The sequence below is a fragment of the Homo sapiens genome, chromosome 2, assembly GCF_000001405.40.
Source record: "Homo sapiens chromosome 2, GRCh38.p14 Primary Assembly".
NCBI lineage: Eukaryota > Metazoa > Chordata > Mammalia > Primates > Hominidae > Homo > Homo sapiens.
The window spans coordinates 155,471,343-155,492,714 of NC_000002.12; the positions used below are offsets into that span (position 1 = coordinate 155,471,343).

Here is a 21,372-nt window from a genome sequence, read left to right on the forward strand (position 1 = left end):
CTTCCCTTCTCACTTCATTTCATTCATTTCATCTTCCATCGCTGATACCCTGTCTTCCAGTTGATCGCATCGGCTCCTGAGTCTTCTGCATTCTTCATGTAGTTCTTGAGCCTTGGTTTTCAGCTCCATCAGCTCCTTTAAGCACTTCTCTGTGTTGGTTATTCTAGTTATACATTCTTCTAAATTTTTTTCAAAGTTTTCAACTTCTTTGCCTTTGGTTTGAATGTCCTCCCGTAGCTCGGAGTAATTTGATCATCTGAAGGCTTCTTCTCTCAGCTCGTCAAAGTCATTCTCCGTCCAGCTTTGTTCTGTTGCTGGTGAGGAACTGCATTCCTTTGGAGGAGGAGAGACGCTCTGCTTTTCAGAGTTTCCAGTTTTTCTGCTCTGTTTTTTCGCCATCTTTGTGGTTTTATCTACTTTTGGTCTTTGATGATGGTGATGTACAGATGGGTTTTTGGTGTGGATGTCCTTTCTGTTTGTTAGTTTTCCTTCTAACAGACAGCACCCTCAGCTGCAGGTCTGTTGGAGTACCCGGCTGTGTGAGGTGTCAGTCTGCCCCTGCTGGGGGATGCCTCCCAGTTAGGCTACTCGGGGATCAGGGGTCACGAACCCACTTGAGGAGGCAGTCTGCCCTTTCTCAGATCTCCAGCTGTGTGCTGGGAGAACCACTGCTCTCTTCAAAGCTGTCAGACAGGGACATTTAAGTCTGCAGAGGTTACTGCTGTCTTTTTGTCTGTGCCCTGCCCACAGAGGTGGAGCCTACAGAGGCAGGCAGGCCTCCTTGAGCTGTGGTGGGCTCCACCCAGTTCCAGCTTCCTGGCTGCTTTGTTTACCTAAACAAGCCTGGGCAATGGCAGGCGCCCCTCCCCCAGCCTCGCTGCCGCTTTGCCTTTTGATCTCAGACTGCTGTGCTAGCAATCAGCGAGACTCCGTGGGTGTAGGACCGTCTTATCCAGGCGCGGGATATAATCTCCTGGTGCGCCGTTTTTTAAGCCCATCGGAAAAGTGCAGTATTCGGGTGGGAGTGACCCGATTTTCCAGGTGCCGTCTGTCACCCCTTTCTTTGACTAGGAAAGGGAACTCCCTGACCCCTTGCACTTCCCGAGTGAGGCAATGCCTCGCCCTGCTTCAGCTCGTGCACAGTGTGCGCACCCACTGACCTGCGCCCACTGTCTGGCACTCCTTAGTGAGATGAACCCGGTACCTCAGATGGAAATGCAGAAATCACCCGTCTTCTGCATCGCTCACGCTGGGAGCTGTAGACAGGAGCTGTTTCTATTCGGCCATCTTGGCTCCTCCCCCTCTGCCAAATTATTAAATCATTTATTATATATTGATGTGTAGGAGGAGTTGATTGGCCTTGTCCTATTGGTATGATTAAGATGATATTCCTTTTTACTAATGGACCTTATGTTAAGAATTTTGAGTGATTCAAAGACAGATAACCAAACACGGAATGTTCTCACTCATAGTTGGAATTGAACAATGAGAACACCTGGACACAGGGTGGGGAACATCACACACCAGGGCCTGTCGGTGGGTTGCGGGGCTGGGGAGGGATAGCATTAGGAGAAATACCTAATGTAAATGATGAGTTGATGCGTGCAGCAAACCAACATGGCATGTGTATACCTATGTATCAAACCTGCACGTTGTGCACATGTACCCTAGAACTTAAAGTACAGTAAAAAAAGACAATAATAAACTATCAAACCATAAAAAAAAATTTTTGAGTGATTATATCATTTTTTATAATTTGAAGCTGTTAATTACATTTCTTTAAGAGATTACAAGCTTCACTTGATGCTCTGAAAACTAATAGTGGAAATTTGGTTTCTCCTTAAACATTAGTCTTGAAAAATGCAGGTTTTCATTATCTTTTTTTTTTTAAATTTTCAGAACAGGAAGGGATTGTTTAGCTGAAATGGAAGATTTGATATCTGAACAAGGAGTTCTAAATAATTCTCTGCACCTTAATCTGCCAATACTCACTCTAAAACTACACAAAGGAGATTCAAAATAAAAAGAGGATGATAAACGGCAAAACCATCTGAGGTACTTTTTGTTTTTTCATGTATATATGTTTTGAACTTAACAATGAGTTAATTCAGTAAGAATTGTTTAAGATCTAATAGCTCTTAATTCATTTTCTTTATATTATCATCCTTACTCCTGGAATGTACCTTCCTTAGCATTTATTTGCTTAGAAAGCATATTTCCAGCAGAATTTATATACATATGCCAATTAAGAAATTTAAAATATTGCTGTGATGCTCTTAAAAATCTTGAAATTTAATTTGATTTAAAATAAAGATATATTGTATATCACAATCCTGTTCTGATTACTTTTCTAAAAACACCCAGGTATTGCATAATTGAAACCACAGATTGCTGCAAAATAGCTTGGTAGATATGAGTAGTTGCCCAAGTTGCAGAAGAGGATGCTGTTGTACACATCATCCTTGAGATAGGATGTAGAAACCCAGACACAGACGGATTGATGATACTCTAGATACCGAGGTATGAAATACTAAGAAAAAAACTTTAAAAAATTTAAAGCTCTACTTCTTGAAATTCTAATTCAATAAGATTAGAGTGAAGAGTTTGTTTCTTCTAAAAGGCATCCATGTTAATTCTGAGGGAATTTGGAAATTATTTAAAGACTTAATGTTTTTCTTTTCTTCTTTCTATAAAATGTTAATAAATATTATACAATGGCCTACTTTTACTTTTCTTCCAAATCTATTCCAAAGCTATATTTATTTGCTTATTTTCATAATAAATATAATACAAGATTGCCCCTTTAAATTTAAATATATTCAGAAACATTTCCTATGAAAAATTTATTATGAGGAAAACAGACAACATATATGCGTAATGAATTTATGCGATAATAATATTTACGTAAATGCATACAGTACATGTATTTTCAGTGTTTAATATGATAATGATACTTCAAGAAATATGATATAATAAATATGATACTTCAAGACATTTTTTACATGAGCAATGCTAGTATCTAATTTTTATCTTTATGATCACATATGTATTTTCAAGATTATTGGTGGTTTTCTTCCTTTACAACTTTTATTTTAGGTTTAGGAAGTACATGTGCAGATTACTTACGTGAGTAAACTGTACATTGTGGGTGTTTACTGTACAGATTATATTGTTACCCAGCTATTGAGCATAGTATCTGATAGATCGTTTTTTGATCTTTACCCTCCTCTCACCTCCATTCTCAAGTAGGCCGTGGTGTTTATTGTTCCCTTCTTTCTGTCCACTTGTTTTTCTGTTTCTGTCTTAATTTGTTTAGGATAATGGCCTCCAATCCATTTATATTGCTGCAAAGGACATTATTTTGATCTTTCTGTGCTAGCATATTATTCCATGTTGTCTGTAGACCACATTTTCTTTATCCAGTCCACCATCAATGGGCACTTATGAGGATAGCACTTCTTTGTTATTGTGAATAGGGCTGTGACAAATACATGTATGCATGTATCTTTATGACAGAATGATTTGTATTCCTTTAGGTATATGCTCAGTAATGGAATTGGGTTGAATGGTAGTTATGTTTTAAGTCATTTGAGAAATCTCCGAACTGCTTTCCACAGTGGCTGAAATAATTTACATTCCCACCAGCAGCGCATAACTGTTCCTTTTTCTCTGTAACCTCACCAACATCTGTTATTTTTTATCTTTTTAATACTAGTCATTCTGACTGGTGTGAGAGGGTGTCTTATTGTGGTTTTGATTTGCATTTTTCTAATGTTTAATGATGGTAAGCATTTTCCATATGCTTATTGATCACATGTATGTCTTTTATTGAGAATTGTCTGTTCGTGTCCTTTGCTCATTTTTTAATGGGGTTATATGTAGAATGGTGGTTGCCAAAGACTTGGGGTTGAGAGAAAGTGGGAGTTACTAATCAATAGATATAAAATTTTAGTTATGAAGGATGATTAAGCACTAAAGATTCACTAAACAACATTGTGCCTATAGTTAATAATACTGTATTATACACTTAAAGTCGGGTAAAATAAAAAAAGAGAATTAACCTTTTATTATATATGGTTTATATATTTTGAGAATTAACCTTTTATTACATATGGTTTACAAATATATTCTCCTATTCTGTAGTTTGCAAAAATAAACTCAAAATGTATTAAAGACTTAAATGTTAAGACCTGAAACTGTGAAACCTGTAGAAAAAACATTAAGGGAAAAGTTTCATGGCATCGGTCTTGGCAATGATTTCATGAATATGACACTAAAAACACAGGCAACAAAACCAAAAATAGACAAATGGGGACTATGTCAAATTAAAAATATTCTGCACAGCAAAGGAAACAATCAACAGAGTGAGAAGGTGCCCTTTGCCCAGTTATAATTAGCCATGCTAAGTAAGAACTTTTGTAATTATCCATGCCCTTCTAGGTAGTAAAATTCAGCAACTGAATTCCAGGCGATGGCATGAGATCTATGTTCTGATTAAGAAAATGGGTGAAGTGGGAGTTTAATTCTCACTACTACATTTTCACCTTTTAAGATACCTCATCTGGCTGGTATAGAAGGCAGTTCCGAGAGATCAAGAGTAGACTGACAAGGATTAAAGAGGTGGTTTCTCTGAAAATTTTAGTAGTACCTGATGTGTACTTATATACCTATGTAACATTTTAAATACTATATAGGAAGTGAAATAGACCAAGCAGGATTGGTGAGCTAATATAGATGTGGCTAATAATTTCTTTATAGTACCAGTTCTGAAGTTCATCCAAGCACAATTTACATTCTCATGAAGTGGAATTCACTATACAGTGATTGTTTAGCCACAAGAATATTTAAATTTGCCACCATATTGTCATAATCTTACCAGAGGTACTAGGGCTTGATAACCACAAAGAGCAGGTTAGTTCCCTATATTGATAATATGATAATTTCCCTCTTCAAAAGAGAAAACTCAAGAGAGTTAAGGACTGTAGTCATCCATATAACAAATAGTCTTTGTCCGATAGATCCAGGTAAAATTCAAGGCAAATTGTTTTGTGAGATTTCTGAGAATTATGTGGCAATAGTAACCAGGGATTTTCCTCACAATGTGAGTAATAATTATCTCTCACTGAGCATGTGTGAAGAAAGAAGCTCAGGGACTAGCAGTGCCATTCAGACTTTTGTAAAATTACTCTCCTCATCCATGAGTTCTTTGGCTCCTCTTCATAAAGTCATGAGAATAATGTCACAATTTGAATAAAACTCTGAGAAAACCAAACATTAAATGACATATTAAGAGTGGTGATACAGGTTATTCCAGCCATTTTATGGCCCAGCTGAGCAGGTGGTGTTCGAAATGTTTAAAACTAGAAAGTAAGAGGAATGGAGCACTTGCCAGAAATCAAGTAAGGCCATCCTACAATGAGGGGACAGGTTGCTATTTAGAAATCAGTGTGTAGAGGGAAATTTATAGCACTAAATGCCCACAAGAGAAAGTAGGAAAGATCTAAAATTGACTCTTTAACATCACAATTAAAAGAACTAGAGAAGCAAGAGCAAACACATTCAAAAGCTAGCAGAAGGCAAGCAATAACTAAGATCAGAGCAGAACTGAAGGAAATAGAGACACACAAAAAAAACCCTTCAAAACATCAAGGAATCCAGGAGCTGGTTTTTTGAAAAGATCAACAAAATTGATAGACTGCTAATAAGACTAATAAAGAAGAAAAGAGAGAAGAATCAAATAGATGCAATAAAAAGTGATAAAGGAGATATCACCGCCAATCCCATAGAAATACAAACTACCATCAGAGAATACTATAAACACCTCTACACAAATAAACTAGAAAATCTAGAAGAAATGGATAAATTCCTCGACACATACACCCTCCCAAGACTAAACCAGGAAGAAGTTACATGTCTGAATAGACCAATAACAGGCTCTGAAATTGAGGCAATAATTAATAGCTTCCAACCAAAAACAGTCCAGGACCAGACAGATTCACAGACGAATTCTACCAGAGGTACAAGGAGGGACTGGTACCATTCCTTCTGAAACTATTCCAATCAATAGAAAAAGAATGAATCCTCCCTAACTCATTTTATGAGGCCAGCATCATCCTGATACCAAAGCCTGGCAGAGACACAACCAAAAAAGAGAATTTTAAACCAATATCCTTGATGAACATTGATGCAAAAATCCTCAATAAAATACTGGAAAAGTGAATCCAGCAGCACATCAAAAAGCTTATCCACCATGATCAAGTGGGCTTCATCACTGGGATGCAAGTCTGGTTCAACATATGCAAATCAGTAAACGTAATCCAGCATATAAACAGAACCAAAGACAAAAACCACATGATTATCTCAATAGATGCAGAAAAGGCCTTTGACAAAATTCAACATCACTTCATGCTAAAAACTCTCAATAAATTAGGTATTGATGGGACGTATCTCAAAATAATAAGAGCTATCTATGACAAACACACAGTCAATATCATACTGAATGGGCAAAAACTGGAAGCATTCCCTTTGAAAACTGGCACACAACAGGGATGCCCTCTCTTACCACTCCTGTTTAATATAGTGTTGGAAGTTCTGGCTAGGGCAATCAGGCAGGAGAAAGAAATAAAGGGTATTCAATTAGGAAAAGAGGAAGTCAAATTGTCCCTGTTTGCAGACGACATGATTGTATATATAGAAAACCCCATTGTCTTAGCCCAAAATCTCCTTAAGCTGATAAACAACTTCAGCAAAGTCTCAAGATACAAAATCAATGTGCAAAAATCACAAGCATTCTTATACACCAATAACAGACAAACAGAGAGCCAAATCATGAGTGAACTCCCATTCACAATTGCTTCAAAGAGAATAAAATACCTAGGAATCCAACTTACAAGGAGAATCCAACTTCAAGGAGAAGTACAAACCACTGCTCAACGAAATAAAAGAGGATACAAACAAATGGAAGAACCTTCCTTGCTCATTGGTAGGAAGAATCAATATTGTGAAAATGGCCGTACTGCCCAAGGTAATTTATAGATTCAATGCCATACCCATCAAGATACCAATGACTTTCTTCACAGAATTGGAAAAAACTACTTTAAAGTTCATATGGAACAAAAAAGAGCCCGCATTGCCAAGTCAATCCTAAGCCAAAAGAACAAAGCTGGAGGCATCACGCTACCTGACTTCAAACTATACTACAAGGCTGTGGTAACCAAAACAACATGGTACTGGTACCAAAACAGAGATATAGACCAATGGAACAGAACAGAGCCCTCAGAAATAATGCCACATATCTACAACTATCTGATCTTTGACAAACCTGAGAAAAACAAGCAATGGGGAAAGGATTCCCTATTTAATAAATGGTGCTGGGAAAACTGGCTAGCCATATGTAGAAAGCTGAAACTGGATCCCTTCATTACACCTTATACAAAAATCAATTCAAGATGGATTAAAGACTTAAATGTTAGACCTAAAATCATAAAAACCCTAGAAGAAAACCTAGGCAATACCATTCAGGACATAGGCATGGGCAAGGACTTCATGTCCAAAACACCAAAAGCAAGGGCAACAAAAGCCAAAATTGACAAATAGGATCTAATTAAACTAAAGAGATTCTGCACAGCAAAAGAAACTTCCATCAGAGTGAACAGGCAAACTACAGAATGGGAGAAAATGTTTGCAATCTACTCATCCGACAAAGGGCTAATATCCAGAATCTACAATGAACCCAAACAAATTTACAAGAAAAAAACAAACAACCCCATGAACAAGTGGGTGAAGGATATAAACAAACACTTCTCAGAAGAAGACATTTATGTAGCCAAAAGACACATGAAAAAATGCTCATCATCACTGGCCATCAGAGAAATGCAAATCAAAACCACAATGAGATACCATCTCACACCAGTTAGAATGGCAATCATTAAAAAATCAGGAAACAGGTTCTGGGGAGGATGTGGAGCAATAGGAACACTTTTACACTGTTGGTGGGACTGTAAACTAGTTCAACCATTGTGGAAGTCAGTGTGGCGATTCCTCAGGGATCTAGAACCAGAAATACCATTTGACCCAGCCATCCCATTAACTGGGTATATACCCAAAGGATTATAAATCATGTTGCTATAAAGACACATGCACATGTATGTTTACTGAGGCACTATTCACAATAGCAAAGACTTGGAACCAACCCAAATGTCCAACAATGATAGACTGGATTAAGAAAATGTGGCACATATACACCATGGAATACTATGCAGCCATAAAAAAGGATGAGTTCATGTCTTTTGTAGGGGCATGGATGAAACTGGAAACCATCATTCTCAGCAAACTATTGCAAGGACTAAAAACCAAACACCACATGTTCTCACTCATAGGTGGGAATTGAACAATGAGAACACTTGGACATAGGAAGGGGAACATCACACACCGGGACCTGTTGTGGGGTGGAGGGGAGGGGAGGGATAGCATTAGGAGATATACCTCATGTAAATGACGAGTTAATGGGTGCAGCACACCAATATGGCACATGTATACATATGTAACAAACCTGCACATTGTGCACATGTACCCTAAAACTTAAAGTATAATATAAATAAATAAATAAAATACACGTTGATTTGCTTAAAAAAAAAGAAATCAGTCACACTGTACCTTACAGTAGGTAAAATCTCAGTGGAAGAAGCCACCCACAAATCTGCACAGTGGACAGAATTGAGATCCACTTAGCAGGAGAAGAGAATTTAGGCTTATGTCTTAAGGGGAATGTTTTTATATTTGTAGGCTCTTGAGCTATATAATCAATGGCCTCGTTACAGTATGTTCAGGTAAATGAGTCTTTTAAAAAACATACCCTCATAGGAAACACTCATTTATGGAAATCTCTGGAAGACTTAGAGTAATAATTTAGATGTGTTATGGAGATGCCAATAAAAATGTCAGTTGCCACCTCAGAAATCAAATTGAATGCTAAGGCAGAATTGGTCAAATCTCTACAGCAGGGATGCAGATGTTCAGGCCATGCACCAGTGTGCTGATAGATGCCATATTCACCTTGCATCTAATGAATTCCCTAATATAAAAAACTGTACCCACTGTCAACAAGAAAGGAACTGCTGGAAAATGTCTGTGAGTAAAATTTCTCTCAAATAAAAGTCCATAGATAGCTGACAAGGATATTTCATTGGAAATCTACCCAAAGGGCTATAAATTGTGTTCACTATGGTTGATATTTTATCTACCAAGCTTTGGTTAACTAGAAAAGGATCAATCTTGGAAAATATGACATTGTTTAGAACAACAAATTTTCTATCAGTATGGTCTACATGAATATATTTTTTTACAGTCAAAGTTCATACTACTATGAACTATTCTAAGGATTTACATATATATTATAAGCAATTAAGTGTTACATATGTATACATTTACATATATTAACTCTTTTAATACTACAGCAATGCTATGAGCAACATACTATTAATATCTAACTTTGGAGATGAAGAAACTGAGTCACAGTGAGAGGTTAAGTGGTTTTCTCAATGTCCTGCAGGAAGTTAGTACCAGAGCTTTTAAAGCCTGGCTTTGGATACCCTGCTCCTAAGCACATGCTATGATGCCTCTCCAGAGTCAGACATGGATCAGAATTTTGAAAAAGCAGTTTAGCAATATATACTGAGAATTTTTAAAAGCAAAACCATTTTTTGGCACATTTTTATTGTTTCAGTTTTTATAACAGAGAAAAACACAATACAAAAAAAATTGGCTAGCTATATGGAAATGATTATGTAAATTATAGTAAACCCCAAAATATATGAATATGCCAATATTAAAACAGAATTTTTTGATATTATAATTTTAAACAATTAATGAATGAGTAGAAACACAATTGTATGTTCAGTATGATTGTCACTATGTAAAAATCACCTCATTAAATTTAAAACTGTAATGAAATGGCACAAAATATTTGATAGTAAATGTATTTGGGCTAAGGTATTGCATCATTTATTTCTTCTCTTGATTTTTATGCATTTACCAAGTTTAAAATAACAAACATTTTCTTTCAAATGGAAAATAATTTCTTGAAATTACTTGCTTTTATTCTTTATATATTTGCTCAAACATAGGAAAAATGAGTTATTTCCTATCTACATTCATCTCTTCCCAAGTAACCAACTGATCCATCTACATTATTTTTTAGCTTAAGGGAATATTTCAATATTCATGCACACATATTATTTGAGGAAAATTATTGTAACTCAAAGAAAGTTGTGTCCTCATTGCTTGATTTTGTTTTGGAATGTCTTATGCTGTATTCAACTGTAATTTCCTTTTTTTTCTAACATGGAGAGGAAAAGAATAATGGGTATCTAAGTAGTTTCCAATAAACTGCCAAGATCTCTTACCAACACATAGATTATCTCTTTCTGTTTAGTTCAATGCCTATATTTTACATTGTTGCAGTGGACAGCTGAAAAATTGATTATATTCTCTGTCATTTCTATAAATTCATTTTTTGATAATATTGTTACTTTGTAGGAGGAATTGTGGCTAGACATGGCCCAAATAGGCAATTTTCATATAGAATGCTAGAAACCACAAAATTCATCTTGATTGAATATATACTAACGGCATTAATCTAAGTGAAATAAATATGATAAGTATCCAATATTTAAATATCAGGCAATTAGTGAAGCTGAATTAACATTGTTGGATTAACACACTTAGTAAATAACACAATCAGTAACAAGGAGAGAAAAGGTGTCTGAATTTTCAAGGAATTATCTGCTTCTTTGAAATGAATTTTTATATAGTTTAAAAATGTTGAAAGCTGAAAAGTGGTGGAAGCAGTTGATAAAAATAATGAATAACATGGTTTAATGTGTTAACAGTACATATGTGTAAGGAATGTTGCTTGCTATCTGACTCAAAAAATTTAACATATACTTTCACTGGTAAAAATATCTATTCTGTAGAAGATGTTTCACAAAAAAAAGCCCTATTTCTTAAACTCAAATTCTTCCTTTTTCAAGTAAGTGCAGTGCTGAAGGTCTCCTTTCTGTAATAAGTTCTAAAGATCTCCTTTCTGTAATAAATTCTGAATGTGGTTTAAAAAATAAAGTAATTTTTTTGTCTATTTGCTGTTTGGATTTTATAACCAAAACAAACAAAAATATCTACTACATTTCTTGTGTTTTTCATCATACAAACAAGAGTTTTGGAATATTGTTTGTTTATATTATGTACTATCTAAACAATGTTATTTTAATTTTAATAAAATCCTTTGGTGTTTGACTTCACTGTTTCATAAAAATTAAAAAGGAAAATAATTAATTTTATTTTATTAAATGAAAATACATGCTGTCTTATCAAAAGAGCAAATACTGAGTATTCAACATTTTTATTAAATAGAATTGAATTTCTTCTGTTTTTTTCATATGCAAGTTTAAATAATATAAAAATTAACATTAGGAAAATATTTGCTATGCCAGTTCTTGCCATGAGGAAATATCCTGTGAGATTTTAAATGTTTTTCTTATGTCGACATGACGTGTTACCACTATTGATGATCCTAAATAATTATTCTATTTTCTAAATATTTTTGTATTCAAATAAGACATTTATAAAATTGCTACTGGCTTGCTGTGTAACCTGGAGCCATTCACTTCACCTCTCTGTTTCTTTTTTTTTGTACATATTTCGTTTTATTGTAACAAAGCAACTTGTACACTTTTAACAACTGAGCATCATCTTTCCTTTTCAGTGAAACAAAAAAAAAATTAAAAATAAACAGAAACAAAATTACAATAGAGAGTGTCAATTCCAAATAAGATTCTACAGGTTCTGCTGATAATCCCATTGAGTGGCAGGGCTCAAGTCATCATTAGGAGAGAATTTGTTTTAAAAGTGTCATCTTAATCTGTCAAATATCACAATTAAACACACCAAAGGAGAAGCCATGTTGTCAAAATACCCACTTAACTCACCCTAACATCTCAAACCCAGCCTTTGCTGACCTTCTGTAACCCCATTTTTCAAGTTTTTTTTTTCTTTTTTTAAACAAGAGAAAGTTGTCAGATACATGTTGGTAAATGCTAACTGTCCATATTCACATAGAGACACAATGTACTCTCTGAGCCCAATATACAGAGAAAGGAGGAAAAAAGCTGGAACTCTATGCACTGCTACACAGGGGCCTAGCACCCTCCAGCTTCCAGCAGAGATAAGGGAGCAGGCTTTTCTTTTTCCCACAGAGCTCGATGCTATTTGGCCAAACCCATTATGGCACTTCTTGATTGCCAATATGGATAATGAAGAAGGAGAAGGAGAAGAAGATAATGATGATGAAGAGGAGGAAGGATTAGAAGATATTGATGAAGGGGATGAGGATGAAGGTGAAGAAGATGAAGATGATTATGAAGGGGAGGAAGGAGAGGAGGATGAAAGAGAAGATGACTAATAGAACACTGATGGATTCCAACCTTTCTTTTTTAAAATTTTCTCCAGTCCCTGGGAGCAAGTTGCAGTCTTTTTTTTTCTCTTGTGCTCAGTCACCGTGTTCTTGAAGTCTCTTTTCTCTACACCATGGTTCTCAACTTATTTTGGAGACAATACCTTGAGCAGAATACAATGGGAAAAGAGTCTCTACCACTTTATGTTGGAAATTCATTTTTATCTCTTCCTGTCTGAATAAAAACTGTATGGAATTGACACCTCTCTGTTTCTTGATAGTAATCAGACTAAGATGAATTATCCATGCACGCTTTGCTATTTGCTAGCATAGAGAGAATATAAGAGAACCTGTAAATCAAAGTAGGTGTTAAAATGTGTCATACAAATTCAAATTGTTATTTAAATATGTAATCCTATACAGTAAAGTCTGTCAACAGTTGAATTAAATGATAAACTTGGATATTTGAAAGTAATTTTTAAGAAGTTTAGAAGTTAAAGTAGATCAGGAATTTCCCCAATTCAGAATCCATAGTAAACGATTACAGAGGAGAACTGGAGAATAAGCTTTTATTTAAAGTTGAATCCAATTTTCTTACATTTAACTATCTTTGCTTTTTTTTTTTTCAGAATGACATTACATTTCTTTATAAAAAGGAAAACAACCACACTTTTCCATAAATAACTATTATGATTGGTTGAGTCATTATTTCTAACTCTTTGGTGACTCCACTGGGAATCAGGATTCTTGATTTCTAATCTTAGCTAAGGCACTAAATAATTAGTTGTGCCTTGATAAATTCAGCTACACAGTTTGGACCTCACTTTCTCCATATGAAAAATGAAAATGAAAGAGGAGCGTAGAGCAAATGACTTCTAGGAGTTATTTCAGAGTTAGCATTTTATGATTTATAATCATTCAACTATTGCTATAGCCTTGTTTATTCTACCTGAATTAAAAAAAATGGACACATGCATTGATTTAAAAATAAGAACTAGTTTAGGAGCCAACTTCCTGTATTGTATTCAAGATGGTACCAGGTTCTATATGCATAGTCCCTTCAAGAGACAGAAGGATAAACTAACTTGTAAAACATCTCGTAGAGACATGACCAGGTCATTTTGAAGGGAAAATTTTTGGGTGAATCTCTAATGTTTGGTTTGATCTCATTGTGAATGACAACCATGTTCTCTGTGAAGAGTGCTTGATTCCATACTATTAAAGGCCAAGACCACAAGTAGTTATTTGTCTGATAGCACTTTTACAATATTTTGTCCTTGAATTTTACAAATTGAATTTAGAAATGAAACTTAGTCTTTGGATCAACCAAAGTTTAACCCTAACATGCCCATATTCCAAGCATGTTTTTGTTGCTTTTGTCACAAGTGCTGGCTTAATTTATATTTCATCTGCCTTTAGGTCTCCTTCAAGTTCATTGTTTTCCAAATATTCCTTTCCATTTAATATAGGATTTTTTATGGTCAGCTGCATTCATTTGTTAGAACACTACTGCCTTTCTTCACCATATGTGCATTCTTAATAAATTACTTGTGGCCAGTCAATCATGAACCATTTATAATTTAAGCCATTTATAATTTAAGCCTTACCCACATACCAAAGATTTGACTGTTATTCATGTGCTCCTTTATCTGCTTTTACTTGCAAACTAACCATCATTCGCTCCACCAGAAGCAATCATCCACCATCTGTCAATCTGAGACTCACTTGTCTCTGAAACTGAAGCTGGTGTTTATTTTGCAGGTATTATGAGCACCTCTCATCTGACACCTTTCTGTCCCCTCTCCATTCATTTTTTCTATTGTTAACAAGCATCCTTTGTGATATTTTCTATGTGTTGTGACTTGTCTTCTACATAGATATTTTCAGCATGACTACGTTTTTGAAAGAAAAAGTGGTGTCATCTTATTCACCTTGTCATTAAGTATATCTGAAAGCAATGGGAACTTTGCCAGAATGCGAAATACAGCAGTAATTCATTGTAAATAATTTTTCTCTGTTTTGTTATAGAAAGAGAATGAGTGTGCTAATTAGATGCAATAATTCAGATTACATGAATTAATTGATGAAGAAAGTTATTTTTACCTTGAAAAATAATGCTATTTTCCTGTCTGTAACCCTCTTGTGTTGTGTTCACATGAATCTCAGGTGAAAACCATAAATAAGTAAATCTGAACATGAAATATACTCCTGTTTTTTGTATGTTAATATTTGAGTGTGTGTATGTAGAAATAAATGTCAAATTAAATGGGATAATATGCATAGTTTAATATGCTTCTATTAGCTCAGAAATGCTATTGTAAGAAAAAAGCCTTCTCATAACATGGAGGTAGAAAGCATATAATATAGACTACATCTGAGCAGTTGACAATCTAACTAAACGTGAAATGCAACAGATATTTTGTTCAGTGTTAAAGGTTGCTATATGGAATACATCTTTGTCTTAAGAGCAATTGATAAAATGATAACTCTACCACCATGCCTTACCACACACAGTGAGTTAATAAAAACATTCACTGAAATACATTTTATGCCATAATTTTCATATAAAATATTTCTCTATTTTTCATTTTCAAGACCACTACCAACTTCCCAGAAAGAACTGTGAAAGACTTAATGAGACATTTATCTGGTCTATGTATTTTATATTTAGCTGATAATATAATGAGGCCAAGGTACTGGAATGAAACGTCTCTAACATTTCAAATAATTTTCCACTTCCTCTCCACTATTTTTGGTATTTCAGCAGAGTGTTTTAACTTTTTGCTGTTTTGAATGTTACCATTGCCGTCAATAATCTCTATGTCAGATGTAGTATCCTGCCTGCTAAATCTTATCCTAAAAAATACATTTCTCTTTATTTTTAAGTATATGGTTAAAATGATTGCAGCCTAATAAGCAAAGCAATATATTTTGAATTTGATTTTTCTATAATGCTGCATGGGTTTTTTTAGCTGACCCTAATGCTGTTTTCTCATGCACATTTTATAACTGTATTACAGAAAGCAGACTTTTTAATGGTTCTGCAATACTTTTATAAATGTATATGCATATTCCTCTACATCTCCCCTCTCTCTCAAATATATAATTACCCACTGATAATCTTATAAAAATGTAAAATATTTTCATTTGACATTTCATATGTTTGAAATACAGGAAATATTTATTACATGTGGTAGCAATTGAAAATCAACATATTAAAATAAGAAGCACACAAAATTGTAACATCCGAAAATCAACATATTAAAATAAGAAGCACACAAAATTGTAACATCCTTTAAAAATTTATATCTTCCTTTAAGTATTTTCACATTGCTTTAAAAAGAAAAATTAAAATATCATAGAAAAAATTGTCATTCATTCTCTTAAACATTTTTCTCCTCCTTATTCCATTTTTCTTATTTCATATTCCATCAGTCTGTAACCAAAGATTGAAACATGAATCTTGATGTAATAGAAAGAAAATGTTTCTTTTTTCTACACTCTGCCAAAATAAGAAAAGGAATACATATGAAATTCCTGTATACATTTTAAAACTGTATGCAAATAAAGTTGTTATTAGTTCATTTATTTTCACAGGCAGCTTAGTGAAACATGTAAGAATCATGTTCAAAATTGGGGCGTGAATTGTGCTTCCAGAACAAGTTACTCGTTTTCTGCTTCATTTTTTCAATCAGTAAAATGAGAGGTAATAATAATAACCAGACTATATTCTTCACAGGATTACCGGGATTTGGGAGGTGATGTAGTACATTTGGCAGTATATTGTAAGCTGTGAACCATTTTAAACACATAACAAATTATTTGACTTTTATTTCTAGAAAAGTGATTTGTATGCTCAATTCAAGTGTGCAGAATGAAAAATTAAGAAAAACCACATGTAGAAAGAATGGCATCAAAGTACAGCTTTCACTTGATCTTTTCCTATTTTGCTTAAGAATTCCATACATTAACAGTAAAAATTTAAAAATATGGATCCTTGACATTTCCTAAAAGTAAAGGAAATAGGTGAGAGTATTGCATAAATACTATTTTGAATAGGATGCATAAAGGAGGTTAAGTAAAATTTTACCAAATTCATAAAAGATGCAGAAAAATTACAATCATATTTCTTATCAAAATTTCATGGTTCCAAGATTGAAACACTCTCTTGTTTCCTGACTCAGCATGGAAATCTGATGTTTTCCTTTCCTTGGATGATTTTGAGATACAATTGAGTGCACAGAATACATTAGAATACATTTGCAATTTGATTCAGGAATTCCCTTTTCGTATTTGGGCAGAAATGTCAGAGACACTAGAAAAATGATGCTAAGAAAGTAAAAATGGAAAAGCTAAAGTTTTTATTAAATAGTCTGAGATAAAACAATAGTTTGAATAACCATTTACCTCGTGATTTTGGGTTATTTACTGCAAATAAGGTATGTAATAGAAAAATTAAAGAATAAGAAACTATTAGACATTGGGTCTATAGGCAAGTACAGAGGAAAATCATTATATGTCAGAAATAGAATTGTATTCTTAGAAGAAAAAGAAATAGTCCCAGGACAGCTGAGAGGGGTAATTCTGCATCGCGTTCATGAAACCCTGAGTGCAGTCCTCCTGGGTAAAGAGAAAACTCCACAGAGATTGCCAACATTGAGTTGGCCCAAAATGACAGAGGACACGAAATGTGGACAAAAAATGTTTAACATGTGCTCAAGTAAATTCCCCTCTGCCAAAAGGAAATTCAAGTATGAAGAATCAACTCCCCAATGGAAAATGATACAAATTGATTTTTAGGGCCCTTTCCAACTGTACATAAATAGAAAAGTGCATGTTAGTAGTTGAAGATGGATTTTTCCAATTGCATTGGGAACTTCTCTATGAATAGGAGCAAATCAGTGGAAACTGTCAGTGAATAAACGCACAGAAATATTCTAGACTGACATTTAGAAATATTCAGACTAAATGGTCATAGAATCCTATTAATGTTTTTCTGATAAGCTTTCGCAAATTGTGACTATGTAAGACATCATAAAGTAATGAAATATTCAATAATTCCCCAGGAGGTTGATTTTAATAATTATTGCTGTATCATCTTACTGGACAAGCTTTGAGCTTTCAAAAAGAAACAATTGAGTGATTAAGATAACAAATTTGAAAAATTTTTGTAATAAATTAATTACCCTTTGGCTCAAATGTCTGGCATTTTGTTTTAAAAATTCAGCCAACTATTAACATAATTTTGTTTCATGTATAATAATTTACAGTCTTAATTTCACTTTTTCTGGTTTTCTACTTTTTAGCACTTCTTTAATTTCTTCTTCTAACAACTGTGAAGTGGTCAAAAGGCAGAAATGAGGAGGAAAGCAAAAAAGAAGAAGCCACAGGGTGTAGATAATCCACAAACAAGCTAATTGGTCCCTGGGTAATTGCTGACTCTCTTCAGCAGCCATGCAATGGAGATTTCCAGGAAAATGTAAATACTGTATTTATATCTGTTCAAATTTTGTTTTCAAGAATAAAAGTACTAATCAGATGGGTTTAAGTATTTGATAAGAATCTCTAATCTATGGCTGTTTTCTAAATATTTGGACATTGTCATTGCTTTACCATGCAGTTTTATTTTTACTCAGCTGTAACTGAACACAATTCTAACTATAGCACTGGAAACTAGATTGGAAACTGTATTCTCCTCTGTGCCTTATTTCTCTTCTCTCTTCGTATTGTGGTTCTTACTCAGTTCTGTCAGTGACAAGCTATATAACCTTGTTCAATTATTTTACCATCATTAGACAAAAGGGTTTTAATTTCCTAAATACTAATATATTACAACATAAAGGTGTTTATGCATTCTTAAAAAAAATTAAAGGGTGTCTATTTCATGACAGTTACTTGGCTTCATCATGGAAGAAACACAAGTGATGGCTAAATCACAATACCTGTTTTAAAGAACTAACATTCTAGTAGGGGAAAAAGGGGGTGAAGACAAATGACAATAATGAGAAACCCTACAATTTCTACTTGAAATTGTGAAAACAAAATACAAAGAGAGAACTTCAACTCGTAAAGGGGCAGTGGATAAAACTTTATTGAGAAAATTGTATTTGATCTGGGCTTCCAAAGATTGTGAAAATTTTGACAGGCTGGGATGTCACAGACAATGGGAAATTATGAAGAATGAAAAGGAAGATGGAAGCTGTAGAGTTGGGAAGAACAGAGAATTTTTAGGAAAATGTGCGTAGTATTGTTTGGTTGAAGCCCTTAGTATATGTAAATGAGTTGTTGGACACAGGTTGTAAAGGCAAGCTGGGGCTTTTAAATTCAGGAACAACATGATTTGATAGCGAATTTCTTTTTTTTTTTTTTTTTTTTAGCAAAGCAGTTGTTCTTTATAATTATTTAACTTAATATCACATGTGGTATCAATAAGGAAAAGAGACTGGATAGGTAAGGTCAGTGAGGAGGCTGTTTCAATGGCCTTTTAGAAAGGCTATTGGAAACTGAATTGGGACAGTAGTAATAGAAATTGTAAAAAAAGAATAGATGTAAAAGGTACTGTAACTGTAAAAGACAAACTACTTAAAGTGTAAACAGACACGTTTTCTATATAGAGGGAGAATAAAAATATTAATATTTCAAGCTGGTTGAGTGGAGAATGATGGTTCCATTACATGAAATAAGAAGATCCAAAGAGGAATGCATGTGTAACAAAGTTATTTGTAATTGTGGACACTGAGTACAAAGCACTAATAATTAACCAATTGATCACTGAATGATGTGTACTTGAGTTTTTGGAGAGACTTTAATGTTGGAAATAATATCTTTGGTCAAACTATAAAAGAGGATGAACTAACCAAAAATATATAGGCAAGAGTGAGGATATAGCCTTAGAATAATGCCACAATTTGGAAGTTTGAGAAGAAAATATGACACACAAATTACACAGAGAAAGCATCAAAAGAGAACACAAGTAGTAAATGTTCCTAGAAATAAGAAAAAGAGAGGAAAAAAATGTAGCAGACAGATAAAAAGAGCTAAAGGAACAATGACGGTAAAATTTACAAATCTTTTAAAGATTTACCATGCAATTTGAGTAACCAATGCTAAAATTATCCTCTAAATTTCAACCTAGATGTTTTTAGTGAATAATGTTTATTATCACAGCAAAGGTGTATTTAAAAATTTTAGTATGAGTGCCAGACTAGTATTGAGGCTATGAATGGAAACATGGATGTGAAAAAATGCTAATTATAAACATGAACCATCTTGGTCTTTAATAAATACAAAACCTCAACAGTCTAGGATGGTTAAAATTTGCTACTGTTCATTGTCTTATCCCTAGAACGATCCCTCTTGAAGATACCTATAGACATATTGTATGAAATGTTTCTTTTATAGTGATACAAGAAATGATTATATAACTTCACATCCCATTTGAATTCCCGGAACAGTGACATGATATTTAATGCATTTCAGTTAAAGACAAGTTGTTGCAAGCCTATTTCTTGTAAGCATATTTTTGGTAAATCTATACAAACTAAGGTGGAAGCCGGGGGTTAAGAGTGGGGAGTGGCATGCAAGGCTTATACAGGTTCCCAGTGCAGAAAGTCTAGAGGTAACATGTCTTGGAAACTTTAGTTTAATACTGACTTGATTCTACAGTTTATCTAGTCTAGAGGATTCCAAGAAATAGATTCTAGTGACCAGTGAGTGTTTGGAAATCATAAAGATATTTGGGGTCTTTTAGAATGAAACTATCTTGGGATCATCTTATGTTTTCCTGGATAGGCATTGTAAGTATGTGCTTTAATGGTTTACAAATACCAGAAATGGCTTTGTGTTTCAGATCTGCTAAACAGAGATTGGTATATGTGATGGTACAAAGACACAAAATATAATTTAACTATATTGTTTCTACATTTCTTTTTTAATTAAAAATTTTTTGAGACTGAGTCTTTCTCCATCACCCAGAATGGAGTACAGTTGTGTGATCATGGCTTACTGCAACCTCAACCCGTGAGGCTCAAGAGAATTCCCCACCTCAGCCTCTGAAGGACCTGGGACTACAGGCACATACCACCACACTTAACATAATTTTTTACTTTCTGTAAAGATGAAGTCTCTTTGTGTTGCCTAGGCTGCTCTCAAACTCCAGGACTCAAATGACCCTCCCACCTCAGCCTCCCAAAGTGCTAGAATTACAAGCATGAGCTACCATGCCTGGACTATTTTTCAGTATTTTAAAGAAAAATACATGCCTAGCCATTTTTGGTTTAGAATTTTTCACCACTGATTGCCCACTTAACAACAATAACAATTTTTTACCACTGATTGCTCTCTCTTTGAAGAACTGTCCCAACTCTATACGTGAAAGGACATAATTCACATAAGAGGTTATTTGTTACCTGTGAACACATTAACTTGACTGCAACGCAGAGGAGTATAAATAACATAATTAATTAGAATTAATTTCCAAGAAGCTATGGAATAAAACTATGAAATATGAGGAATAAGGGTATCTATATGACCTCCTAGTTACAGCTGTGCACCTCTCAATGTTATCCTTCAGTATTTTGTTCTCACACTTATCATTCTCCTCAAACATAATTAACCTTGGAGCTCATGACTATGTCTCATTCTTCCCTCACTGTCATACACATTAGACAGACTCCAATTCAACATCTTTGATAAGATATGCTAGGTAAGATTTATTGAGGCTTTTCTGAGTGTTGGGCATTAGAAAACAAACAAAACCCTCATTTAATTCTTAAAAGTACTCAGAATAATGAAGAGTCTGATTTCATTTTTGATGTTTGACTGCTGATAGCTTTCAGGCCCCACTTCTCTTCTCCTTTTCTGCATCACATCTGAGAAAGGTGATATGAAAGCCAGGGATCCAGGGACTCCCTCCTTTGAGTTTA

At 34.3% G+C, this 21,372-nt stretch overlaps 1 long non-coding RNA gene across 2 annotated transcripts, besides 2 other annotated features; it reads left to right on the forward strand.

Annotated features, from left to right (window-relative positions):
• Positions 429-930: an enhancer, noted in NCBI's record as "H3K4me1 hESC enhancer chr2:156328283-156328784 (GRCh37/hg19 assembly coordinates)". NCBI's record gives its function as "activates a minimal SCP1, AML or CMV promoter by ChIP-STARR-seq in naive H9 embryonic stem cells {active_cell/tissue: H9 hESC(naive)}" and the evidence as "EXISTENCE:reporter gene assay evidence [ECO:0000049][PMID:30033119]".
• Positions 931-1,430: an enhancer, noted in NCBI's record as "H3K4me1 hESC enhancer chr2:156328785-156329284 (GRCh37/hg19 assembly coordinates)". NCBI's record gives its function as "activates a minimal SCP1, AML or CMV promoter by ChIP-STARR-seq in naive H9 embryonic stem cells {active_cell/tissue: H9 hESC(naive)}" and the evidence as "EXISTENCE:reporter gene assay evidence [ECO:0000049][PMID:30033119]".
• On the forward strand, positions 1,900-18,004 carry LOC105373700 (uncharacterized). Of its 2 annotated transcripts, XR_923497.3 has the most exons (3): positions 1,908-2,055; positions 2,365-2,520; positions 17,755-18,004. It is a non-coding gene; the product is annotated as an uncharacterized LOC105373700 (long non-coding RNA). The 2 variants fall into 2 exon arrangements; XR_923498.3 differs by lacking the exon at positions 2,365-2,520 and having other exon boundaries at positions 1,900-2,055.
• The last annotated feature ends 3,368 nt before the right edge of the window (positions 18,005-21,372 follow it).